Source organism: Homo sapiens, chromosome 20, assembly GCF_000001405.40.
Source record: "Homo sapiens chromosome 20, GRCh38.p14 Primary Assembly".
Lineage (NCBI taxonomy): Eukaryota > Metazoa > Chordata > Mammalia > Primates > Hominidae > Homo > Homo sapiens.
The window spans coordinates 54,153,444-54,175,596 of NC_000020.11; the positions used below are offsets into that span (position 1 = coordinate 54,153,444).

Genomic DNA, 22,153 nt, shown 5'->3' on the forward strand with positions numbered 1-22,153 from the left:
TCTCAAATATTTAAAAACTTTTATTTTTACTTTCAGAGAATTTGAAGGTATACAGATGAAATCTGACAAGACGTGAATTTATAATTCTAAAAATAATTTCACAGCAGAGAGAAAGCATATACCTAGATATGTACATATTTATTACAATATAAAGACATAAATGTATATTTCTGAAATATTCTAAAAATATAATGTAGGAAGAAATATTTATCAAATACACAGAATTATATACAGTATGCATTTAGGAAAAGCAGTAGTAAAAATATGCACAAATAAACCATCTGTAAACACAATTTTTAAGTCTTATAAGTATTGCATGCATTTCTGTGCATTTTACATTTATGAAATCATATTTTTCCTAGGAGTTCAAATCACAAAACAAATGTTATATAACAGATCTCTAACTTTTGCATGCTTTACACTTGTCCCATTTAATAGACAGAAAAATTATGGCATGGGAAATCATTTTATAATATTAAAGTCACACTGAATGTTTTTAAGCTGTGACTAAACTTTGAAACATTGCCCTGCACCACAGATCCTAAATCAAGTACTGCAAATATTAAAAAAATGACTGAGGCAAATTACCATTAGAACCCACACACACATACACGGACACACACACACAGACACACACACACATGCATGTCTGTGCTTCATATGCACATACACAATTTAAAAATTATTGCTTCATCTTTACCCTAATGCCATAAAGGAATCACATTTAAAAAATAAACAATTTTAAGGTCCTCTAACAAAATAATGCCCCAGTGAATCACTAGTCTTATAAGTTGTTTGACTTCGTTAAAGTCCTTTTAAAAATAGAGGTGTTCTCTAGTTTCCCAATAATGTTTTTATTTCAATGCAGGAAGAACGCAATTTCATGGGAGGCCTGATAACTTTAACCATCATTTAGCTTGGCTTACATTATTAAGCAGGGACATTTTCCTAAGTAGTACATTAAGCAGAGCTACAGTAAATGGATTGTCAGTATTACTCCCAGCCCCAGAAAATTTAGCTGTTGTAGGTCATTCATTGTGAAATGTAAACTTATTCTTGGGAATTAAAGATTCAAACAGTGAATGTGGTAGGCAGGGCCTGAAACGGTTTGTAACCTCTACCTGACTGACAAGTGCCAGCCTCCCTTTCATGTCATGGAAGATGCAAGACAGAACAGGCTCCCAGGCCATTCTAAGCACCTGAAGATGGTGCTGACACAGGTGAAGTGTAAACCAGCAGTGAACCCTGTAGAATGCCTTGGATCCCAGCACTCAGTCCGCTTCCCTGAGTTGGATATGATGTTAGCAAATACCACCATCTAGAAAGACAGTACAGCTTCTGGAACAATTTTGCAGAAGAAAAAGTATCAACACCTGGGCCTAAATATTCTTTATAAGCTGTTGTATGGTGTGGTGTTTGAAGTTTGCTTTCCGGTAACGTAGAAGCCATAAGCACCATTCTTGCAGAAAAGTTGAAATGGCTGTTTTGGTCTTGGTAAAAAAAAAAAAAAAAAAAAAAAAAAAAAAAAAAAAAAAAAAAAGGTATACCCTAATTGTATATCAAAGAAGTGTATTTAAACAAGACAAATTATTAGCCAAAGAAAAAATGCTAAAACTTAAAAGGTGTGGCTTACTGTGATAAACATGCATGCTCTTTGCTGAAGGCTGGGGTGTCACAATGCAGCTAGAATACTTTCCTTACCCTACTTGATTCAGTTCTGTTGGTTGGGATGCTCAGAATTTGACAAATTTCATAATAGCATCAGACACTTGGTGGAGGAATAATAATGTATTCATTTGGGCCTTGTTCAGAAATTTCATCTGTAATTGCATGTTTCTCTAAATAATCTACCAATAAGCAAATGCTCCTTAACTTGCCATTGGCAAACAGCATTTTTTTCTAGGAAAATCCTAGAAGGTGCTGCTAAAAGAACACAATGATAGAATCCGGGTTTAAACACCGACATGTCAGCCTATAAAGCCATATGTTACAAATGTCTTATTTCCACCACCAGGGGTGGTGGCTCACACTTGCAATCCCAGCACTTTGGGAGGCCGAGGCGGGTGGATCACGAGGTCAGGAGTTCAAGACCAGTCTGGCCAACATAATGAAACCCCATCTCTACTAAAAATACAAAAAATTAGCTGGGTGTGGTGGTGTGCACCTGCCTGTAATCCCAGCTACTCGGGAGGCTGAGGCAGAAGAATCGCATGAACCCAGGAGGCGGAGGTTGCAGTGAGCTGAGATTGCACCATTGCACTCCAGCCCAGGTGACAGTGTGAGACACTGTCTCAAAAAAAAAAAAAAAAAAAAAAATTAGGGCCTTCTTAGGCTAACTTTTGATCACTTCAATAGTTTTGAATTCATTGTAATGTCTATTAGGAGAACATAACTAGACTTACTAACTCTTAATTTCATTAAGGAAATTATTACTCAGGACGAGGCCAACATATGCTATTTGGCTTATGTTATTTAAAGGAAATAACTCAGTAGTATTGAAATAAATAGCACCTGGTTGGTATATGGACATGGCAAAAGTTGTGGAGGGAACATGAGAACTCCTCTATTGTCAGAAAAAGTATTGAATGGCATACTGCAGAAAAAATATTCTATTGTGTTCAATACAGGCTGATAAATATATACATTTATATTACATGTGGTTGCATAACACAAACCTAGACCCTAGGGCTAAATACAGTCCACCGCTTGTTTTTTATAAAATTTATCAGAACACAGCCTTTGTAGGCAGAATAACAGATCTCCTAAAATGTGAATGCCCTAATCCCTGGAACACGTGAATATACTACCTTATATGAAAAAAAGGGCTTTCCAGATGAAATTAAATTTATGAACTTGGAGATGGGAGACATGATCCTGGATAATATCTTGTCAGACAGAAGCAATGTAAGAAGAAAGAGAGATTCAAAGTGTGAGAGGGACTCAACCAACCATTGTTACTGGCTTTCAGTTGGGGAAGGTTTCATGAGCCAAGGAATATGGGAAATCTCTCAAAGTTGAGGATCGCCTTCAGCTGACAGCAGCAAAAAAATAAAGACTTCAGTCCTGTAACCATGAAGAACTAAATTCTGCCAACAACCAAACTAGCAAGAGAATAGATCCTCCTCTAGAACCTCCAGAAAGAGCCCCGACAACACGATAATTTTAGCCTGGAAGAGCCTCATCAGACTTCTGACCTATAGAACTGTAAGATAATAGATGTGTGTCGTGTAACTCACTAAGTTTTAGTAATTTGCGGTGGCAGCAATAGAAAGCTAGGACATCAGCTCACTCATTAGTTTACAAATTGCCTGTGGCTGCTTTCATGTTCCAAGGTAGTATTAAGAGGATGTGACAAAGACTGTATGGTCCATAAAACCTAAAATATTTGCCAACTGGCCCTTTACGGAAAAAGTTTGCCAACCCTTACTATTCACATGCAAAAACCATGAACAGCTGCTAGCATTTACTGAACACTTAATTGATGCCAGGCTCAGGAATAACTACTTGGTATTCATATTAAATTTTTGTGATACACTCTCTTTGGGTCATCATTTTACAAATGAAAAAAAAAAAGGAAGTAGAGAGTTTAGGGAACTGCTCAAGGTCACCCAGCAAGTTAGAGGTGAGCTGGGATTCAAACCCCAGTCTGGCTGACTTCCCAGCATAGCTCATCCCTCGTCATTCTCACTACCTTGCAGAGGATAATGAACCGCCTAGATGCTCACCTGAGGCGTATTATCGCTGGCAAAACGCGATGGGGAGTTCCCGGCTGGGCACCAGGGTGCCTGAGTGTAGCATCTCAACAGGCTCATTGTCTGTGGCCTGGATGTCGTATTTGCGGACAATCTGTAATGCACACGCACACAAAAACAGAATTACCCCTCTCTTCTTCTGCCTTGTGAAACAGCACAGAACATAATTGCAGAAACCGGTAAAGGTTTTACCCAACAAAGAGCCAAATGCAGTTGAAGCTCTGCTAATCGGCGACCAATGCACATTCTTTTTCCAACGCCAAATGGAAGATGCGCAAAAGGATTAATTTTTTCCTTCTCCTGAAGCCAACGTTCAGGTCTAAACTGACTTGAATCTTCAAAATTGTCTTCACTGGATCCCAACACCTGGGTATTTAGCATGAGCACTGTCTAAACACATGCAGAGACACATAGTATTTAAAATAACCAGAAGAGACCTTTGAATGGCAAAATTGACACAAGTTGTCACCTTACAAATCAAAAGCCAAATCCACAAATTTATAATAATGATGGTTGCCAACATGCGCTGAGTGCTTAAAATGTGCCAGGTAATAAATAGGTAAAGGGCTTTAGAATTGTGCACCATACTCACAACCACCCTGCGCAGCAGATTCTGTTATTAAACCCCTTTTACAGACGAAGTTGAGGCTCACAGAGATTATGTAACTCACTCAAGACAACACAGATAAAAGATGAAACTGAATGCAGGTCTCTGTCTCCATAGCCGTGAATTCTAATTCTATACTATGCAACATGTCAACTATTCTCTACCATCTCTGCATTCCCAAAATGAATATTTTCCAGTACAAAGTCTAGGGAGATCTGGTGAATATTTGCAAAGTGTATCTTCCAAGGTTTTGTAAGGTATAGAATATACAAATTCTACTTACTCCTTTGGGTAAAGCATATTCACCCAGAACTGTTGCCTTGTCAAGAGTCCGAGTTGTAAATGGTACACTCGGCGTAAGCCTGAAAAGATAAAATCAAAGATGTAAAGGTGAGCACAGTCTAAGTTCTCTCTGAAGTGTCAATGGGAATGCAGATTGGATTAAATAAATGCTGCCCAAGTGCATACTCAAAGAGGCAGCATGATCACAGATCTTCCTAAAGAAGTTGTTTTTTTCTTCTCAATAATTGTATCTCTTGTTCCTCTCATCTTCTTGAGTTAGTTAAAACCCCAGTGCAAGGCTGTTTAGTAAACTGTTAACGTTGGTTTTCCCCCTTCATTCCAGACTAAAATGTGTATGTTTCCGTGCTAGCCCTTGAAGCGTGATGTTTGTTCTATGTTTCTCCAATCTACTCTTCACAAAGTTGACAGTATCCTTCTAATCCTAAAATGTTGTGAGTTTTGTTTTCCCAAAAGGATGTAAAAAGAATTTCCAAAAAATGTTTTATACCAGAGGCTCAAAAGCAAAGCTTTCTCTGTGTCCTATTATATAATAATATAGCTCTTTTGTGAGCCTCCATCTCATAACCTTCAATCATGCCCCTATCTTAATTAGTGCTTACAGCGTTCATTAGAGTAGCAAGATTATTGAATTAAAGGGGAGGGCACTGGCTTTCCAAGATTTAATAGAATTTGCCCAAATGATTTAGGAAATGAGTGCCAGAAAAGAAATATGGCTCCAAAGATTTTTTTGCAGTGTGATAATTGTTTCTAATTAGCTAGGGGAAGCCGCCCATGAGTAGGGGACCACTTGTTTTGTGTTTACGAGAACAGTGTTCTAACACATTTATATTGGCTCAGAGATAGGCTCTTACCTCATAGATTCTTTCAGACAGGCTTTTAAATACGGCATATTCCTCAAATCTTCTGCCCGTGGCACCTGATTCTCAGGTAATACACTTTGAATTTCCTTAAGAAGCTTTTGTTGCACTTGGGGATTACGGGATAAATTGTAGAGAATCCACATTAGACTGTTTGCTGTCTGCAAGCCAAATGGACATAAACTTGAGTTTTTGTAAATAACTGCATTAAACCACTATTAGCTGAAAAAAAGGTGATGCCCACCACCTTATTCTGCAAATGTATCAGTGAAGCTCTTTCACGCGTCCTTATAGCTACGCCTTTAGACAAATCCAATATATAAAAAAGCAGACTTATTTCATAAAACATATCAATTAAGGATATATTTTAAATTATTTACTGAGGGAATCAAAGTATAATCCTTTAATCAGCTGCTTTAGAACATTTAAATACAGTTTTTTTTTTTTTTTGAGATGGAGTCTCACTCTGTCACCCAGACTGGAGTGCAGTGGCACTATCTCGGCTCACTGCAACCTCCACCTCCTGGGTTCAAGCGATTCTCCTGCCTCAGCCTCCTGAGTAGCTGGGACTACAGGCATCCACCACCATGCCTGGCTAATTTTTGTATTTTTAGTAGAGATGGGGTTTCACCATGTTGGCTAGGCTGGTCTTAGACTCTTGACCTCAGGTGATCTGCCTGCCTCCAAAAGTGCTGGGATTACAGGCATGAGCCAACTGTGCCTGACCTAAAATACAGTTTGACGCAATAATTGTTCGAACACAAATGAGTACATGTAAAATTGGTGAAATGAGAATATTAGTGGGTTAAATCAATGCCAATTTTCAGATTGTGACAACGTTTTCTCGTTAGACAGGACATTACTATTAGTGGAAAACTGGGTAACGGATGCAAGGGATCCCTTTCTATTTTTTCTTAGAACTGAATGTGAATCTACAATGATCTCAAAATAAACATTTAATTAAAAGTTGCTTGATATAAAAAACATTCATATAAAAATGGAGTAAACAGAGAGGGATGGTGATCCTCAGGGTGTTGCTAATGAGAGGCTTTAAGAGAATGTTATAGTGGAAATGGACAATAAATGGCATTTCTGAAATTTAAAAGTTCCTTTGGCCACACCCTAAAAAGTCACCACAAAAATAAACAGGCACTACCTACACTGAGGGTTACAACCACATGTAAACAGCCCTCATACGAGGGTGCCAACACCAAAAATAAGAAATTCAAACATTGAGCTGAGTACTCCAGCTACAGTTTCTGACAAAGGCCCACACCCTTTTAAGTGGCATCTTTTATTTCCTCTGCACAGGCAATGACTAGAGAAAAAATATTGGTGGAAACAGCCAATGTAGCTTTAAGCTACATAATATTCACCACTAGTAGTCATATGTATTTATTTTTTAGGCCGTACTTTGCTAATTTAAGCCAAATATTTCCTGAAAATGATCATTGTGTCCACCTCCGCAGACATGAAGACGCTGTTGCTAAGTGCCATGTGCCACTCACACAAATGAGCACCAAGTGCAAGACCATTCAGAGATGATGGTTATTTTATTATTTTTGGAAGAAGATGCCTCCAAGGCAGTCTTCTTCATGTCAGAGGACTGGCAGCCTCGGCTGCAAATAAACTGTAGATGCCATTATTATAAGAGTCTAATTTACAAAACAGGAAGAGGGTGTAGCCATCAAATTAGATACACTTTCAAATGGTTCTGATTTTCCAAATGTGACTTTCAGAATAGCCAGGACCAAAAAAGAAACAGATTTAACCATATCAGTGAGTCCCTCACCGCAAGTACCAAATAGAGTTTCCAAAGGGCAGATGACTGTAGCTTTTACCAAAGCCACGTAAGGCAGTCTGAGCCTGTAGGGAAAACTGCAGGGGCTAAGCTGCAGCAGCTGATTTGAGGGGAAGTGGCCTGGAAAACCTCAGGGGCACAAACTATCCTTGATTGACCTCCATGGAACAGACCAAGCTCATTGACTGGCCTGCTGTACCCACTCTCTTGGCTAAGTCTATTCTCCATCCACCAGCCAGAGCCCACTTTTAAAAACATAAATGATCAGGTGATTCCCTTGCTTAAAATGCTGCAAGAGCTTCCCATCACAGGTGCAATCAAATCTAATGCCTTACCCAGGCTGGGCTCACAAGGCTCTGGCTAACATGGCCCATCCAATTCTCCAGTCTCAGCTCTGACCACATTTACTAGTTCTGTAGCTCCATCCCTCTTTCTGCCCCAGGGCCTTTGCATGGGCCGTTTCCTCTACCTGCAGCGCTCTTCCACGAGGTCTTTCTGTGGCTGGCTCTTCTCATTATTCCAGAGTCAGCTCCAGTACTGCTTTCTCAGAGAGGGCTTCCCTTTAATCATCTCCATCTCTCTATATTACACCATCCTGATGGCGTCCTCCACAATCCACACCACTATCTAAAGTGACCACATTTGTTTGTTTACATGGCTACTGTCTGTCTTCCCCACTTGCATACAAGTTCCATGAGAGTGGGAACCCTTGTCTCTGGTTCATGGTGGTCTCTCAAGAACCTGGAACAGTCCCAGGCATACAGTAGGCACTCAATAGTTCCTGAATTCCTTCATTTATTCAACAAGTATCTATCAGCCGCTACTAGATGCCAAGTACTGTTCTATGTCCTGGAAACACAGCAGTGGACAACTCTAAGCCATTGCCCTCAGAGAGGTCACGTTCCAGTTGAAAAAATAAAAGAATAATGGGTGACACTGTACTTTGATCACTGGAAGGAGCCACCCAGGGTAAGCAGTTCAACAGGAAAGTGAGCGAGGATGGATTCCCACTTTCAACCGCCTTGTGGAGCAGGAGGAGAAATGAGAACCTCGCTATCTCCTGATAGAGAAAACCCTACCTTTACTTCAGGCAAGAAACAGCACAGAAGGGGAAGCACATGGAAAATAAACAACTGCTTTACATTTTGCTTAGAGACTTTAAGGTGCATGAAATGTTGGACTTAGGAGGAGGTTAGCGTGCGCCACTCCCATCACAGCTCGAACTAGTATCCAAGTCAATTAAACCTACCTGAATGCCTATGGCAGGATTTGTTTGGGGTTGGTCTCACTTAGTATCTGCTATCTCCTAGGGAGTATCGGCCACATCAGAGACAGAATTTTGGTCTTTACAATGAGCTGTTTTGCTTCAGTTAAAATCCACTTGTCCCAGACTCTTTGGGACTTTGTTTACAATTCTAAGCAGATAAAAATATTATTGGCTTGAAAGAGAGTATGCCTTTTTTTTTTTTTTTTTTTTTTTTTTTTTTTTTTACAGTAAGTAACAGCCACAGTTAGGCACTTTGGGGTAACATGTGCAACTGAACAAAATACTTCCAATTTTGAAAAATCTGGATTCTGTATCTTGCCAGGGCAGAGAACTTTACTGCTCCTGAACTCCCGTAGCAGTTTGCATGGACATCATGGCACTCATCACATCCTACTCTGGCTTTTTGTCACTGGGGCACATGAAGTCTCCTCCTACCCAGAGTTTAAGCACAGAAGCCCGTGCATGGAGGCACCGTGGCGTCTGGTATGAGGCCGTGCGCTGAGGCACCGTGGCATAGATGCTGTGCGCGGAGGCACCGTGGCATCTAGTATGAGACTTTTCATTTTTGTGGAGTTGATGCTAGTGAATCCCAGTGAAATGAATGAGATGAATTACTATTTAAAATCTGTCATCTAAAAATGGTACAGACCGTTCATTTAGCAAACTCAAATCCAGCCCACCCTTACCGTTTCCACCGCAGCCAGCTGGAGCTCTGTGACAGCAGCATACAATTCTTTCTTTGAAAGCCGATTCTGGTGATAAATGTCACAAAGGAAATCTGCACTAGGCTGCTGAGAATACTTCTCTAACCGGTTGTCGATACAAGCTTTGACTATTAGAGCAGAGAAGAAAGAGAGGAAGTCAGCTGAAAATTGGGATGAGGAAAATCACAGAAGAAAACCTCAGTCCAAACTCCTTCTTGCAATATCTAAATAGTCTTTTCAGGAACACTGACAATTTGCTACACACACTAATTATATTATTGCCTTCTTGTCAAGTCGGCAAGGATTTTTCAATACCGACATGAGCAAGGCTTCTCAAACTTTAATGTGGATAGGAGTCACCTAGGCATCTTCTCAAAATGCAGAATCTGAATCAGGGCTTGGGTAGGCCTGGAACTCTGCATTCCTAATAAGCTTCTAGGTGATGCTGATGCCACTGGGCTGCAGGTCATAGTTTTGAGTAGTAAGAGTTTAGATCTTGGGAGAAAAAAGTGTAAAAGAAGGTAGGATTTGGGTTCACTTTCAGAATCCAACTTGGACCCAGATATTACTAAGCACACATACCCCACATACATACGCACAAGTAGAGTGTCCATCCATGTTGACAATAATGGTAAAAATTTCTAATATTTATAACATAAAATCTAGGCGTGTACCTCCCTCACTATTAAGCAAACAACCACCAGGCTCATTATATGGTAATAATCATGCTGATCACATATGGCACAGCAGTTAGAGTTCGAGTCCTGGAAGCTCCTTGTCTGGCTTCAAACCTTGGCTTTGCCATCACCTAGCATGCAATCTTGGGAACGTTGGCTAACTTCTATGTGTCTCAGGTACCCCTCTCAGGGCTAATAAAAGGACCTACCTTATAGGTGTGTTGTGAGGATTAACTAAATGTGTAAGTGAACAATGCCTAGCATCAAATATTCCCCTTCGTCATGTGGCAGAAATAGATCTAGTCCACGGAGATACTGTGATATGCCAGGTTTTTATGTTAACTGTAATCTGTAGTAGACCCAGAAACAGTTACATTGAGGTAGGTTCTCTTATTATTATTATTAATTATTAGTCCATTTTAGAGACAAGGCAACTGAGGATGAAAAGGTGATTGCACATTTGGCCAAGCCACCACAACCAGTGACAGAGCTGAACTTGAACTCAGGAGTCCCTGACTCTATAAATTTTACTTTTTTATTTTGAGATGGAGTCTCACTCTGCCTCCCAAGATGGAGTGCAGTGGCTCAGTCTTGGCTCACTGCAACCTCCGCCTCCCAGGTTCAAGCAATTCTCCTGCCTCAGCCTCCTGAGTAGCTGGGATTACAGGTGCCCACCACCACGCCCAGCTAATTTTTGTATTTGTAGTAGAGACTGGGTTTCACCGTGTTGACCGGGCTGATCTCAAACTCCTGGCCTCAAGTGATCTGCTCGCCTGGGCCACCCAAAGTGCTGGGATTACAGGGGTGAGCCACTGCACCTGGCCAGATTTTACTTTTAACCACTCTTAATTCCCAAAGAAGACTACAGAAAGCTTGTTACTTAGAATTTGTGTATGCTGGGGCAATCCCCAAAACACCTGTGTTTGCAAAACCTAAATGTGGTGATGAGGCTCAGGAGATCACTCCAGACCTCCTCTCTGAAGCTCCAGACACGGGGGTGCTGGGCTGGTTCTGGCTGGTTGTGAAGGGCGGCCCTTTACCTGATTTGAAAATGGTGTCCCAGGCCAGAGTGTGGTCCTGCCAGACCTTGGTGTTGAGGCTCTTGTGCAGCTCGACTGGAGTGACCATCATCCTCCCAAACGTGCTCATCATCTGAGAGAAATGCAAATGCCTTTTTATTCTGAATTCTCCTTCTCTCAAAGACAATGTTCGTTCTGGAAGAGGAACATTCTAAACCGCAGCACCCTGCACTTTTTAAAAGGCTGGAATTACAAGGACACCCCCGGCTCTCTCTGCACCGGTCCTGGGAGCAATGCCCGTACCCCACCTCCACCTCCTTTCAATATTGAAGGTAATGTGGGGGATGATTTTCCACTGGATGTGTTTGATAAAAATTGTAATCTTATGACCTAATTGTAAAAAAAAAAAAAAAAAGAGGAAAAACGATAACTTTCATATTCACTTCAATTTCTAATAATTTCCAAACTTCAGTGATTTCCAAACCAATTTCACAGCGTTTATCCTATCTACACGCCACCCAAACTATTCAAAAAGATAAAATCTGAAAAATTTTGGGCTCTTTTTAAAAAGTATTTTTAATCAACTGATCTTTAATTAAAATAGCTATTTTAACCTTGCCTAAACAAAGAAATAATGGATTTAATGTGCTTCTTTATGTTACGTGCATATATCCAGGGGTCCCCAACCCCCAGGCCGTGAACCAGTACTGGTCAGTGGCCTGTTAGGAACGGGGCCGCGCAGCAGGAGGTGATCAGCGGGCCAGCAGGTGTTACCACCTGAGCTCTGCCTCCTCTCAGATCAATGGCTGCATTAGATTCTTACAGGAGTGTGAACCCTATTGTGAATTGCCTATGCGAGGAATCTATGTTCCACACTCCTTATGAGAATCTAATGCCTGATGATCTGTCACTGTCTCCCATCACCCCCAGATGGGACTTTCGTGTTGCACGAAAACAAGCTCAGGGCTCCCACTGATTCTACATTATGGTGAGTATATAATAATAACAGAAATAAAGTGCACAGTAAACGTAATGCACTTAAATGATCCTCCCTCCCCTGCCCCACCACCCTGCCCTGTCCATGGAAAAATTGTCTTCCACGAAACTGGTCCCTGGTGCCAAAAAGGTTGGAGACAGCCGCATATATGCACATAAATATACTAAAATATATAATGCACATTAAAATGAACACTTAACTATTGAAATAAAATATGTGTGTATGCCATTTTTTGGGAATCACTGTGAAGTTCTGTAAAAATCGATCTGTAAAACATCAATCAAGAAAACTGCTTTCTTAAAGAGGCTGCTTACTGTTTTGATGGCCATGATGAAGTTCACAGCTTCATCCCCTGCATTCTTCTGGAGAAGCCCAAATCTCTTCTCATACAACACGAGGCAGATACCTGTCATTTAAAATAATCATCACTTTACACAAACAGCAATGCTGGAGTTGGAGTCTATGTTTAGCTGGTTATTAAAGACTCAATTCTATGCCTCTTAAAAGTGTGGGATTTTCTGAGAAAAGGCAACAGTCCAAGAATATTGAGGAAAAGCAGAGTCTGAGAGAAAGGGGACACCATCACTTTCTTTTTCTAGAAATTATCTCCAGGTCCAATGACTCATCACCTCAGAGTGTCATGATCAGAGATCCACTGTCCTGATCAAGTCACACAGGAGATCCAGGGGCCCTAGCAAAGGTGCTGCAGGGTCGGGTCTGCACTCTGCCTCTAACCCAGCTGTGTTTTTAGAGTCACTTATTGGATTCTATCTCCTGACATAATGAATTGGAAGCCATTCACCAGAGGAAGAGAAGGGAAGGGAATAATTATGTTCTAAACACCCATTACACGCCAGGTACTGGGCTAGCACTTCATATAGGGTTTTTTTTCCTTCCATTTCATCATTTTATTTAGAAGGAACCTTTTTACAAATAAAATTCTCAACTCTTCATTTCAAAACTTTTTACCTAGAGAAAAGTTGAAGGAATGGTAAAATGAATACCTGAATCCCCCGAACTCATCAACATCTTGCTGCCATTTCTTTCTCTTTGTGTGTATGTATGCATACAAGTGTATACGTGGTTGTGTGTGCTGAAGCATCTGAAAATAATTTTGAGCTCTCAGGTCACTTCACCGTTAAATACTTTAGCAGTAATGTCCTAAGAATAAAGCATTCTCCAACATAACCACAATGTCATTAACATCCCTAAGAACCTTAGCGACCATTCCATAAAAAATCTACTGTGTCCCATTTTAAAATGTTCCCCATTGTCCTAAAAATTATCTCTTGTAACCTTTTTTTTTTAAAAAAAGGACACAGGGCCGAGCGTGGTGGTTCACACCTGTAATCCCAACACTTCAGGAGGCTCGGGCAGGCAGACTGCTTGAGCCCAGGAGTTCGAGAATAGCCTGGGCAACATGGCAAAACGCTGTCTCTACAAAAAAATAAAAATAAAAAAATTATTCAGGCATGGCTACATGTGCCTGTAGTTCCAGCTACTCTGGAGGCTGAGGTGGGAAGATCTCTTGGGCCCAGGAGGCCGAGGTTGCAGTGGGCCGAGATCATACCACTGGCCACTGCACCCTAGCCTGAGTGACACAGTCTGGAAAAAAAAAATTATACAGGATTACTGCAACCAACTTTTTAGTGGTGGATAATTGGCTCTTGACTTATAAAGTAGGAGACTAGCATTAAAAAGGTAAACAAATGGCCTAAAATCATAAACCTGAGGAGTGAGAGTCAATTAGCTTAGTCAGCACCCACCCACAGCTTTTCCAACTACCTCCATGTTTTCCAAACTCTACTTATTTCTTCCCAGCCTTTCAAGGTTTCCCCGTATTTGTGTTCCACAGTGGTTGGCAGGTACACCACTGGGAATATGTGAGATAGCTCTGGATGGTACATGAACTTTAAAAATAATTAGTTACTCTGCTGGGCACAATGGCTCATGCTTGTAATCCCAGCACTCTCAGAGGTGGAGGTGGGAGCATCATCTGAGGTCAGGAGTTTGAGACCAACCGGTGGCAAAACCCCATCTCTACTTAAAAAACACAAAAGTTAGTCAGGCGTGGTATCGCACGCCTGCAATACCAGCACTTTGGGAGGCTGAGGTAAGTGGATCACCTGAGGTCAGCAGTTCGAGACCAGCCTGGGCAACATGGTGAAACCCCATCTGTACTAAAAAACACAAAAATCAGCCAGGCATGGTGGTGTGCACCTGTAGTCCCAGCTGCTCAGGATGCTGAGGCAGGAGAATCGCTTGAACCCAGGAGGTGGAGGTTGCAGTGAGCCGAGATCACGCCGCTGCACTCCAGCCTGGGGCAGAGTGAGAGTCTGTCTCAAATAAGTAATTAAAAAAAGTTACTTATATTTATCTATTTATGGCAATATTTCTGACCTTGAATTTATGGAAGTGTTATAGGTTTTCCTTCTATCCCTCCCATCAGCAGCCACAGTGATCCTCCCAGTAAATCTGCCCATATATCACACTGCTGCTGAATACATTCCCGCAGCTCCCGGTTACTTACAGGCTAAAATTCAAACTCCCGCTCATACAGCCCTCCATGAGCTGGCTGCTGGCCCTCTGCCAGCCTCTGTTACAGGATATGCTTGTCATTCCGCACTTCTTCTGCAGGGACACTCTCCTTCCTCCCTTTTCACCTGGTGAACTCCTACTCAACCATCAGGACTTAGCTGAGGGGCACCATCTCTGTGAAGCGACCCCTGGCCATGTCCGGCTTAGGTGGCCCTCTCAGATTCTCCCACAGCCCTGAATGTCCTCAGCCAGGCGCTGTCCCACCTGATCACAGCTGCCTGCTCTCCTCTTGCACCCCCATGGGCAGTGAGCTCTGCCCTTTATTTCCAGAGTAATCTTTGAAGAAAGCGGTCATGTCCTCCCTCCCTTACTTGCCCCATCTGAGTCAGATGAGAGGTAAAGTCTTGCCAGGACCTATGAGCTGTGCCCTGTTGGACACCTGCCTTCTTTTTGACCTCATCTCCTTTCACAGGCTCCCCTTCCTCCCAGCTTGTTCATCGTGATCCACTCACACCAGCAGCTTGAAGTTCCTCAAACTCGGCGCTCATGCTTCCACCTCCTGGCATTTGCACTTTCTTCTCTGCTGCCTGGAACAATCCTCCACAGGTACCCTCATGATTTGCTCCTTCCCTTCCTTTAGGACTTACCTCAAATGTCTTCTTACTAAAAAAGACTTGCCCCTCTTTCATTCTTTCATGTTATTTCTTTCTCTCTCTCTCTTTTCTTCTTTATTTCTTTTCTTTTTTCTTTCCTTTCTCTTTTTCTTTTCCTTCCCTCCTTCCTTCCTTCCTTCTCTCCCTCCTTCCTTCCTTCCCTCCCTCCCTTCTGCCTTCCCTCCCTCCCTCCCTCCCTCCTTCCTTCCTTCCCTCCCTCCCTCCCTTCTTCCTTCCTTCCTTCCTTCCTTCCTTCCTTCCTTCCTTCCTTCCTTTCTCTGTCTCTCTCTCTTTCTTGAGACGGGGTCTCACACTGTCACCCAGACTGCAATGCAGTGGTACAATCACGGCTCACTTTAGCTTCAGCGTCCCGGGGTCAAGCAATCCTCCCACCTCAGCCTCCCAAGTAGATGGGACTACAGGCATGTGCCACCAACCCTGACTAATTTTTGTATTTTTTGTAGAGACAAGGTTTTGCTGTGTTGCCCAAGCTGTTCTCAGATTCCTGGGCTGGCCTCAAGCGATCTGCCCACCTCAGCCTCCCAAAGTCCTGGGATTATAGGCATGTGCCACCATGCCTGCCTTTCATGTTCTTTCTTAACTCCCTTTCTCTTTTCCTTTACTCCTTGGAAGAGTATATTTTAAAATGTGTTTACTTGTTGACTGTCACCTTGTCTAGCATATAAGCTCCCCAAGGGTACAGGGGTTATGCGTTTCATTCATTGTCATATCCCTAGTACCTAGCACAGTGCCAGACACACAGCAAGTATTCAACAAATGTTTGTTGTATGACTCATTAACAATCCATAGTTCAAGGCATAACTTAAGCACCTAAAAGAAGCATTAAAAGGGCTGCTCTGGCCTTTCCCTAGGCAGCAATAATGCCTGTTTACAAAAGAGTTGTCAAAAGAGCCATGTTTTATCCGCAAAATCACCTGCAAAATCAGTGAGCAAGTCTGTGACGACAACTTACTTTCAAACGACCATTTGTTCAGTTCGCTGTACAAGTCTTCAACGTGGCCTCTTTCATCACAGAGCTCATCTATTCTGCCCATAAAATCGGCCAAGACCTTCAAAGAAAACAACCGCAAAAGACACATTTTAAAGCCGTTGAAGGAAAACAAAACTTTAAAGCTCACTGAGCTAACTTCAGGTCTTGCTACATCGCATATTCACTGGCCATAATGTTATTCATCCTGAAGTCACACTAATTATATATTCTCCCTGGGAACCCACCTTATCCCCTAATGACCTCGTCCTGGGTTATTTCCTGAGCTTTTCCTGAAGCCACCCTGAAGCTTAAGTTTCAGCTTTTGATCTAAAAATAATTCTGGCAATTTAAGAAAAGGAAAACATTTTTTTTTTCTAATCAGAATGGGGGAATAAAACCACAAAGGAATCAGCTAACTGTCCCTGTTGGCCCAGCATCTCAAGGATTGTGTTGCAGCAGCTATCCTGAGGTGTGCCCTTCCACATCTGGGCAAGCAAACGTCTCTTTATTGGTTGGTGGTTATGTTAAGCATGTTGAACTTGGAACCAGAAGATCTACCAATTCTGGACACAGCTCCTTCCCTAAGTAGTCTATGACCTTGGGATAGTCACATAAGACCTTTGGATGCCAGTTTCATAAACCAGAGTTTTCAATAACTAATGCCTCACATTTAATGAGGTCCATATGGTACCAAACACTGTACGAAGTGTATTGGTTGATCCTCTGACAACCAAGTAGTAGTAGGTACCGTCTCTACTCATTTCCCATGTAGTAGATGAGAAAGCTGAGGCTTAAAGAGGCCAAGTCACTCACTTATGCACACAGAGCTGATAAGTTGCCATCCTGGACCCTGCCGTGAGCTGGTGTGGCCATACAGCCCACATGTGTGGATTTAGTTTGCAAGTTTAATTTGCCCGCATAGCGCATTTAAAAGTTCTTTGAATTTGTTACCATTAAAAAAAACAAGAGGTTTCATATGAACATATGGATTTACCACTACTAGTTTAAAAATGTAAATAATAATTATGAGACTTGGTGACATGAGGTCTGCATTCTGACATGGCATTCGTTTGCTGGAACTGGGGCTGCTGTCCCTCCTGGGAGGGGCATGCACTATCACGTTTCCTGAAATTTTTACTGGGTCTGCCTTATTATTTTATATTAGTCATGTGAGCCCTGGAAGCTTCTGAGTTTGCAATCCTTCACCTATATGATCCCATCTGGGGACGCATCCAGTTCAAAATAAACATCCAAAGTGAACAGAAGTAAAAAGAGATTACTTTATGCTTAAAACTCCCTTTGACTCCGTGCTGGCTAAGGGATAATGTCCAAATACCTTAGTATAATACAAAAATATTGTTAAGACCTATCCAGTATCATTTCAGAGAAAGCCTCACATCAGCTACACTAAATGACCGATTCTCTGAACACACCACGTCATTTCATGCCTCCCTGTTTTCAGAAGGCTACTCTGTCTGCCTTAATGCCTTCCCCCACTTTCTCTGCTTTCAGACTCCTCCTGCAAAACCCAGCTCAAATATCACTACTTAAGAACTTTACAATGTTATCTCATTTAATTCTCACAGCAAACCCGTGGGGTGGGAACTGTTACTCCCATTTTGTAGATGGGGAAACTGAGGCTTAGGGAAGGTAAGTGGTATATAGCCAGGTCTCATAGCCAGGGAGTGGAAAGCTGGGGTTCAAATCCAGGGCTGTAGAATACCAAAGTCCACACTCTCCATTGCTCCCTCATTGTGATATGACTTTAAAAGAGGGTGGAGGAGGGAGAAATAAGGGTTTGGTGGGGAGGAGGCTGTAGGAAGGAATGGAGAGAAAGAGAAGACCCCCACTTTGAATCACCCGAATTGCATTCTTTTTTCCTTTGTTCTTTGTAGCTGTGACTTGAAGCTCCACCAATATCCCTATGTCCCCACGAGCCCCAGGAAAGCTGGCCCCAGCCTGCAGACCTCATTGATTTTGTTGTCCAGCTTCATCACTTCCCCTGGTTTCATTAGTTTCTTTTGAAAGGCACTCCGGACCCGCTGCCAGTCTTCCCCTTCCCTGTGAGAGAAGCAGGAATACATTTAGAGCACACTGAAAAGAAAAGAAGGAGATGCAGAAATACTCCAGCTGCAACTTCAGGAACCATAAAATCAAACAAACACTGAGAATCATGCCAAGAAATAGCCAGAGAATATTAGCATCAGAATATTTGGGATAAAATAGTGATCATCTTTTGACAATAGTTTGACAATAGGATGAAAAAGCACCTTTCCTCCTAGTCAAAGATTGCACCAAAAAGTTGAAGTCCAGATAATTTGGGTTCAGGGATTTTGAGGTGTCCTTGCAGGGAGTGGGGCTGGGAGGCCTGGGGACAATTCCTAGCGGTAAAAGGGGGCATGTGAACACCCCATCACCAGCAACTCAGATCTGTTTGAGGGAAGAATCTTGTCTTCTTTCAACTCATTGGTGTGGGCTTCATATTTACAAAATATCTCAGATTTAGAATTTTGCCATCGCCTCCAAATAATAACATACAGTCAGAGAGTCACTGGAGTAATAAAAAGCCTTTTGCGATCGTGCACTTGTAGGCACCTGCCCCATAGCAGACCATACAGCCTGTGAAGCACCGTGAATTAATAGGGTTTTTAATTCCAGTCATTATATCCTGGAAAATATAACGATTAGGCATTACAGTTTGGGGGTAAATAAAGGTGCTAACTTGTTAAATGCTAACAACTAAAAAGCAGAAGAATCACATCCCATAGTAGCATTTGTCGACCTAAAACACAACTTTGATATCCCTCCTTATTCCACCTTTACAAGTAGAAATAAGGCATGTCCCCCAATCCTCTGCAGAAAATGTCACTGTAAAAAGCCAAAGAGGCTAACTCCTCGCTTTTGAGCTTACAAGGTGTTTCAGGGAGTTTTAAGGGATAATTTTGTTTGTATAAGATGTTTGCCTGGTACGCTGACTTCAGAACCTCATCCTGCCCAAGAGTCTGAACACCACAGTTGGTACAACCCTGTTTTGGCGTTTCTTTGATGGGAGGGTGTGGCCCTGCCCTGTTGCCAGAGAGAACGCAGGTGCTGGGTGCACAGCACGGCTTTTCCGTGGACCGACTCTAATCTGTACAAGAGCTCAGGGTTGCGATGGCACGGGAGAGGGGCTTTGGTATCCGCCCTACGTAAGAAGCTTCCAACCCCAGGGAACTCTAACTCCGCCTCTTCACAATTTCCAGGCGCCGTCAGGCTCATCAGGTCTGGCCGCATGCCCAGGTCCCTCGGATTGGACTCACAGGATCAGCAGCCCGTAGCCTTCTTTGCGGTAGTCGCGATAGGCCTTCCACGGTTTGATCTCCAGCCGCTGCGGGTACGCGCTCTCGGTGCGGTACAGCGCTTCCAGCAGGCATGGCGAGCCCAGGTGCACCGACTCAAAGGAACCCAACTTCATGCGGAAAATCTTGCCATACTTCTTGTGGTACTCCACCTGCAGCCGGCCGGGCACAGCGCGGTGTCAGCGCGCATCCTCCGCCGTGCCCGAAGCGCTTTCCCTCCTCCCGCCTCCTTCCTCCTAGGGGACCGGGGACCCTCCCTGCCCAGACGCCGAAGCGCACCATGCGCCCGAGGCGCGCATGTCGGGGAGGGTTTGGAGCGCCACTGGGAGGGCGGAAGAGGGAGGAGAGAGTCAGGGGCGCGAAAAGGGGTTTACCAGGGTGTCGTGCTGTTTCTTGAGACCCCCTTTCCAGAGAATCTGCAGCAGGCTGCCCAGCAGTGGCCAGCTGGTGGGGCCCGGCAGGGCGGCCGCGTTCTGAGTCTCGCCACCAGCTGTCAGCGGGCAGACTGGCACCTCTCGCGGCTGAGGGGACGTGTACGCCGTAGATGTCACCAGTCTCGGGGGCTGCCTCGGACTGCGCAGCTGCTGCAGGAAGGCGGCAAGCGAGCGGCTCTTGCTGATGGGGGAGCTCATGGCAGCGGGGGACACCGGAGCGCGGGAAGGCAGGAGGATGGGGTGGGGCGAGGTTGGTACGAGGTGCTAGTGGGAGTCGGGGCTTAACGATTCTGGGAAAAGGAAGCAAAGAGGGCCAGCTGGTGTGATGGAGCGGGGTGAGGCGGGACAGGCAGCAGAAAGGACCTCGGCGAGGATGCTCGACGCTGCACCACGCGACAGCCTCAGAGCATTGGTGCCTCCTTGCACTGGCCGCAGGGGCTGGAAGAGGGTGGCCGGTGTCTGGGGACCTCTTGAAAAGGGAAAGCTGGGAGTCCTCCTGTTGGTCCGCAAGGCTGACCTCTAGGGTCTGGCTGGAGCCACGGGGAGGTGTCAAGGAGGGTAGATGAGATGCTGCTGGCGCTGCGTTTCCTCCTGTCCCTCTCCATGTTCCTATGCCCAGGGACCATGCATTTATGGAGACAGAGCATGCCCTGGGTGGCCAATGAGCACGCAGAGGAGGGCGGAGTGGCCCCCGGCTGGCCAGACTCCGAGGGACGCGGGACCCAGGGGAGGGGGGGTGGAAGGAGGATGGAGTCAGCGAGGTGAGCGAGGGCGTCCGGGCCTGGGGTGACCGGGGCTATGTTCGCTGGGCGCGGGAGGTGGGGTGGGGGCGGCAGACTCCACCCCGGAGATAACCCCCAGGAAGTCATGCGAAGCCCGGAGTTCACCGGGTGTGCTTCGAACGCGCCTCCCCGCCCTCCCCCGGCGGGCAGGAGCCGGCAGCGGCGGCCGTGGTTGCCGCCCGGCGCTTGCACAATCGCGATGCCGGGCGGGCGAGGTCCCCGAGTGCGGGCCCAGAAAAGCTGCCGGCGTCTGCCAGGGCCCCGGGGAGCCCGGGCGCCTCCCGGGGAGCCAGATACCCCCAGCCTGGACTGAAGTGATTTTTTTTTTTTTTTTGCCTTTTTTTTTTTGGAGGAAGTTTGGCTTTCTGCGCCTCCCAGGGTGGGGAGGATTTGAGTCTTACTGAAATGCACCAGAAGAGGAGACTTTCTTAACTTGAGCAAGAAGGGGAGTTTGTAGAATTTCCTTCCTGCTGTTTCATGTTTGGTTGTTTTGCAGATTAAATGAATTAATGCACGTAAAGCGGCAACAACGAAGCCTTGTCTATAGTCAACAGTCAATAAAAGTTAGTTGCTGTTGTTACTTCTTTAGGAAGTTAGGAAATGCGCCTTGAGAGCGTGGCTTGCACCAACGATGCTTGAATTCAGGCTGGGCCACCTCCCCTATGTCCACTGCCCGCCTCTGTTCTTCTACACCGACTACCTTGTGCAAAGGAGGGGCACACAGAGCTTGAAACCACCGCCCCCAGTACTCCCCCTCTCCCCCAAGGTGCGTCCTAGGCAGGTCCAGTGACAAACATACACAATTTCTAGAGTTACCGCGGCTGGCAAGAGTAGAACTCGCTTTGCTAATTCAGGAACGGAAGTTGGAGATTTTTGTTGATTGTTTTAAAGTGGCTCGAATCCTTTCAACCTGATCCAATACAAAACTACCACCAGCCAGGGAGGAGGGGAGGGACATTCTGTTTCCTCGCCCTGCTTTTCAATTACGTGTCTCAGTCATTTTTGCCCCAAGTGTTGGCAAATCCTTCCCTGGTAAATTCTTTTGTAAGCCTCTAGTTTGTTTCTTAAAAATCTTTTGCAGTCCAACTTAAGCTTTAACACCATCATTTCTGATTTGTCTGGAGGGGCTAATGACTGTTTATGTTAATAAAAATAATAGCTATTGATATATACTAAACTTTATGAATCTTGTACATATTTATATATACATTGTATGGTATATATGTTACAGCATACACTATAGATTATGTTATATGCAATACACACTAAATATACATAATATAGTATAGATTGCATACAGTATGTAGATTCCATATGTTATATAATATTCTCATGAAAGCTTTCTAGGGCTTATGATAAGTCAGGCACTGAGCTAGACATTTTACATCATTTTTTCCGTTTAGTTCTCATCTCAGCCCAATGTCAATAAAATG

The 22,153-nt window shown here is 43.8% G+C and overlaps 1 protein-coding gene across 9 annotated transcripts in view, besides 1 other annotated feature; it reads right to left on the minus strand.

Moving 5' to 3' along the window:
- CYP24A1 (cytochrome P450 family 24 subfamily A member 1) overlaps window positions 1–20,543 on the minus strand; it is a 30,449-nt gene extending 9,906 nt beyond the window's left edge. Inside the window, exons 1-12 of one of the 9 annotated variants that reach the window (NM_000782.5) lie at window positions 19,879–20,543; window positions 19,466–19,656; window positions 18,134–18,227; window positions 16,149–16,245; window positions 12,299–12,390; window positions 11,009–11,120; window positions 9,274–9,419; window positions 5,514–5,680; window positions 4,643–4,721; window positions 3,945–4,142; window positions 3,726–3,846; window positions 3–1,318 (exon numbers count right to left, since the gene is read on the minus strand). In NM_000782.5, the coding sequence (NP_000773.2) occupies window positions 3,736–3,846; window positions 3,945–4,142; window positions 4,643–4,721; window positions 5,514–5,680; window positions 9,274–9,419; window positions 11,009–11,120; window positions 12,299–12,390; window positions 16,149–16,245; window positions 18,134–18,227; window positions 19,466–19,656; window positions 19,879–20,136 (1,545 nt within the window). In that variant the 5' untranslated portion in view covers window positions 20,137–20,543 and the 3' untranslated portion in view covers window positions 3–1,318; window positions 3,726–3,735. Of the gene's footprint in view, window positions 1–2; window positions 3,847–3,944; window positions 4,143–4,642; window positions 4,722–5,513; window positions 5,681–9,273; window positions 9,420–11,008; window positions 11,121–12,298; window positions 12,391–16,148; window positions 16,246–18,133; window positions 18,228–19,465; window positions 19,657–19,878 lie in introns of those variants that run through there. The other 8 variants (NM_001424340.1, NM_001424341.1, XM_017027692.3 and 5 more) reach the window with 8 other exon arrangements.
- Window positions 20,173–20,766: an enhancer, noted in NCBI's record as "H3K27ac-H3K4me1 hESC enhancer chr20:52790155-52790748 (GRCh37/hg19 assembly coordinates)". NCBI's record gives its function as "activates a minimal SCP1, AML or CMV promoter by ChIP-STARR-seq in naive H9 embryonic stem cells {active_cell/tissue: H9 hESC(naive)}" and the evidence as "EXISTENCE:reporter gene assay evidence [ECO:0000049][PMID:30033119]".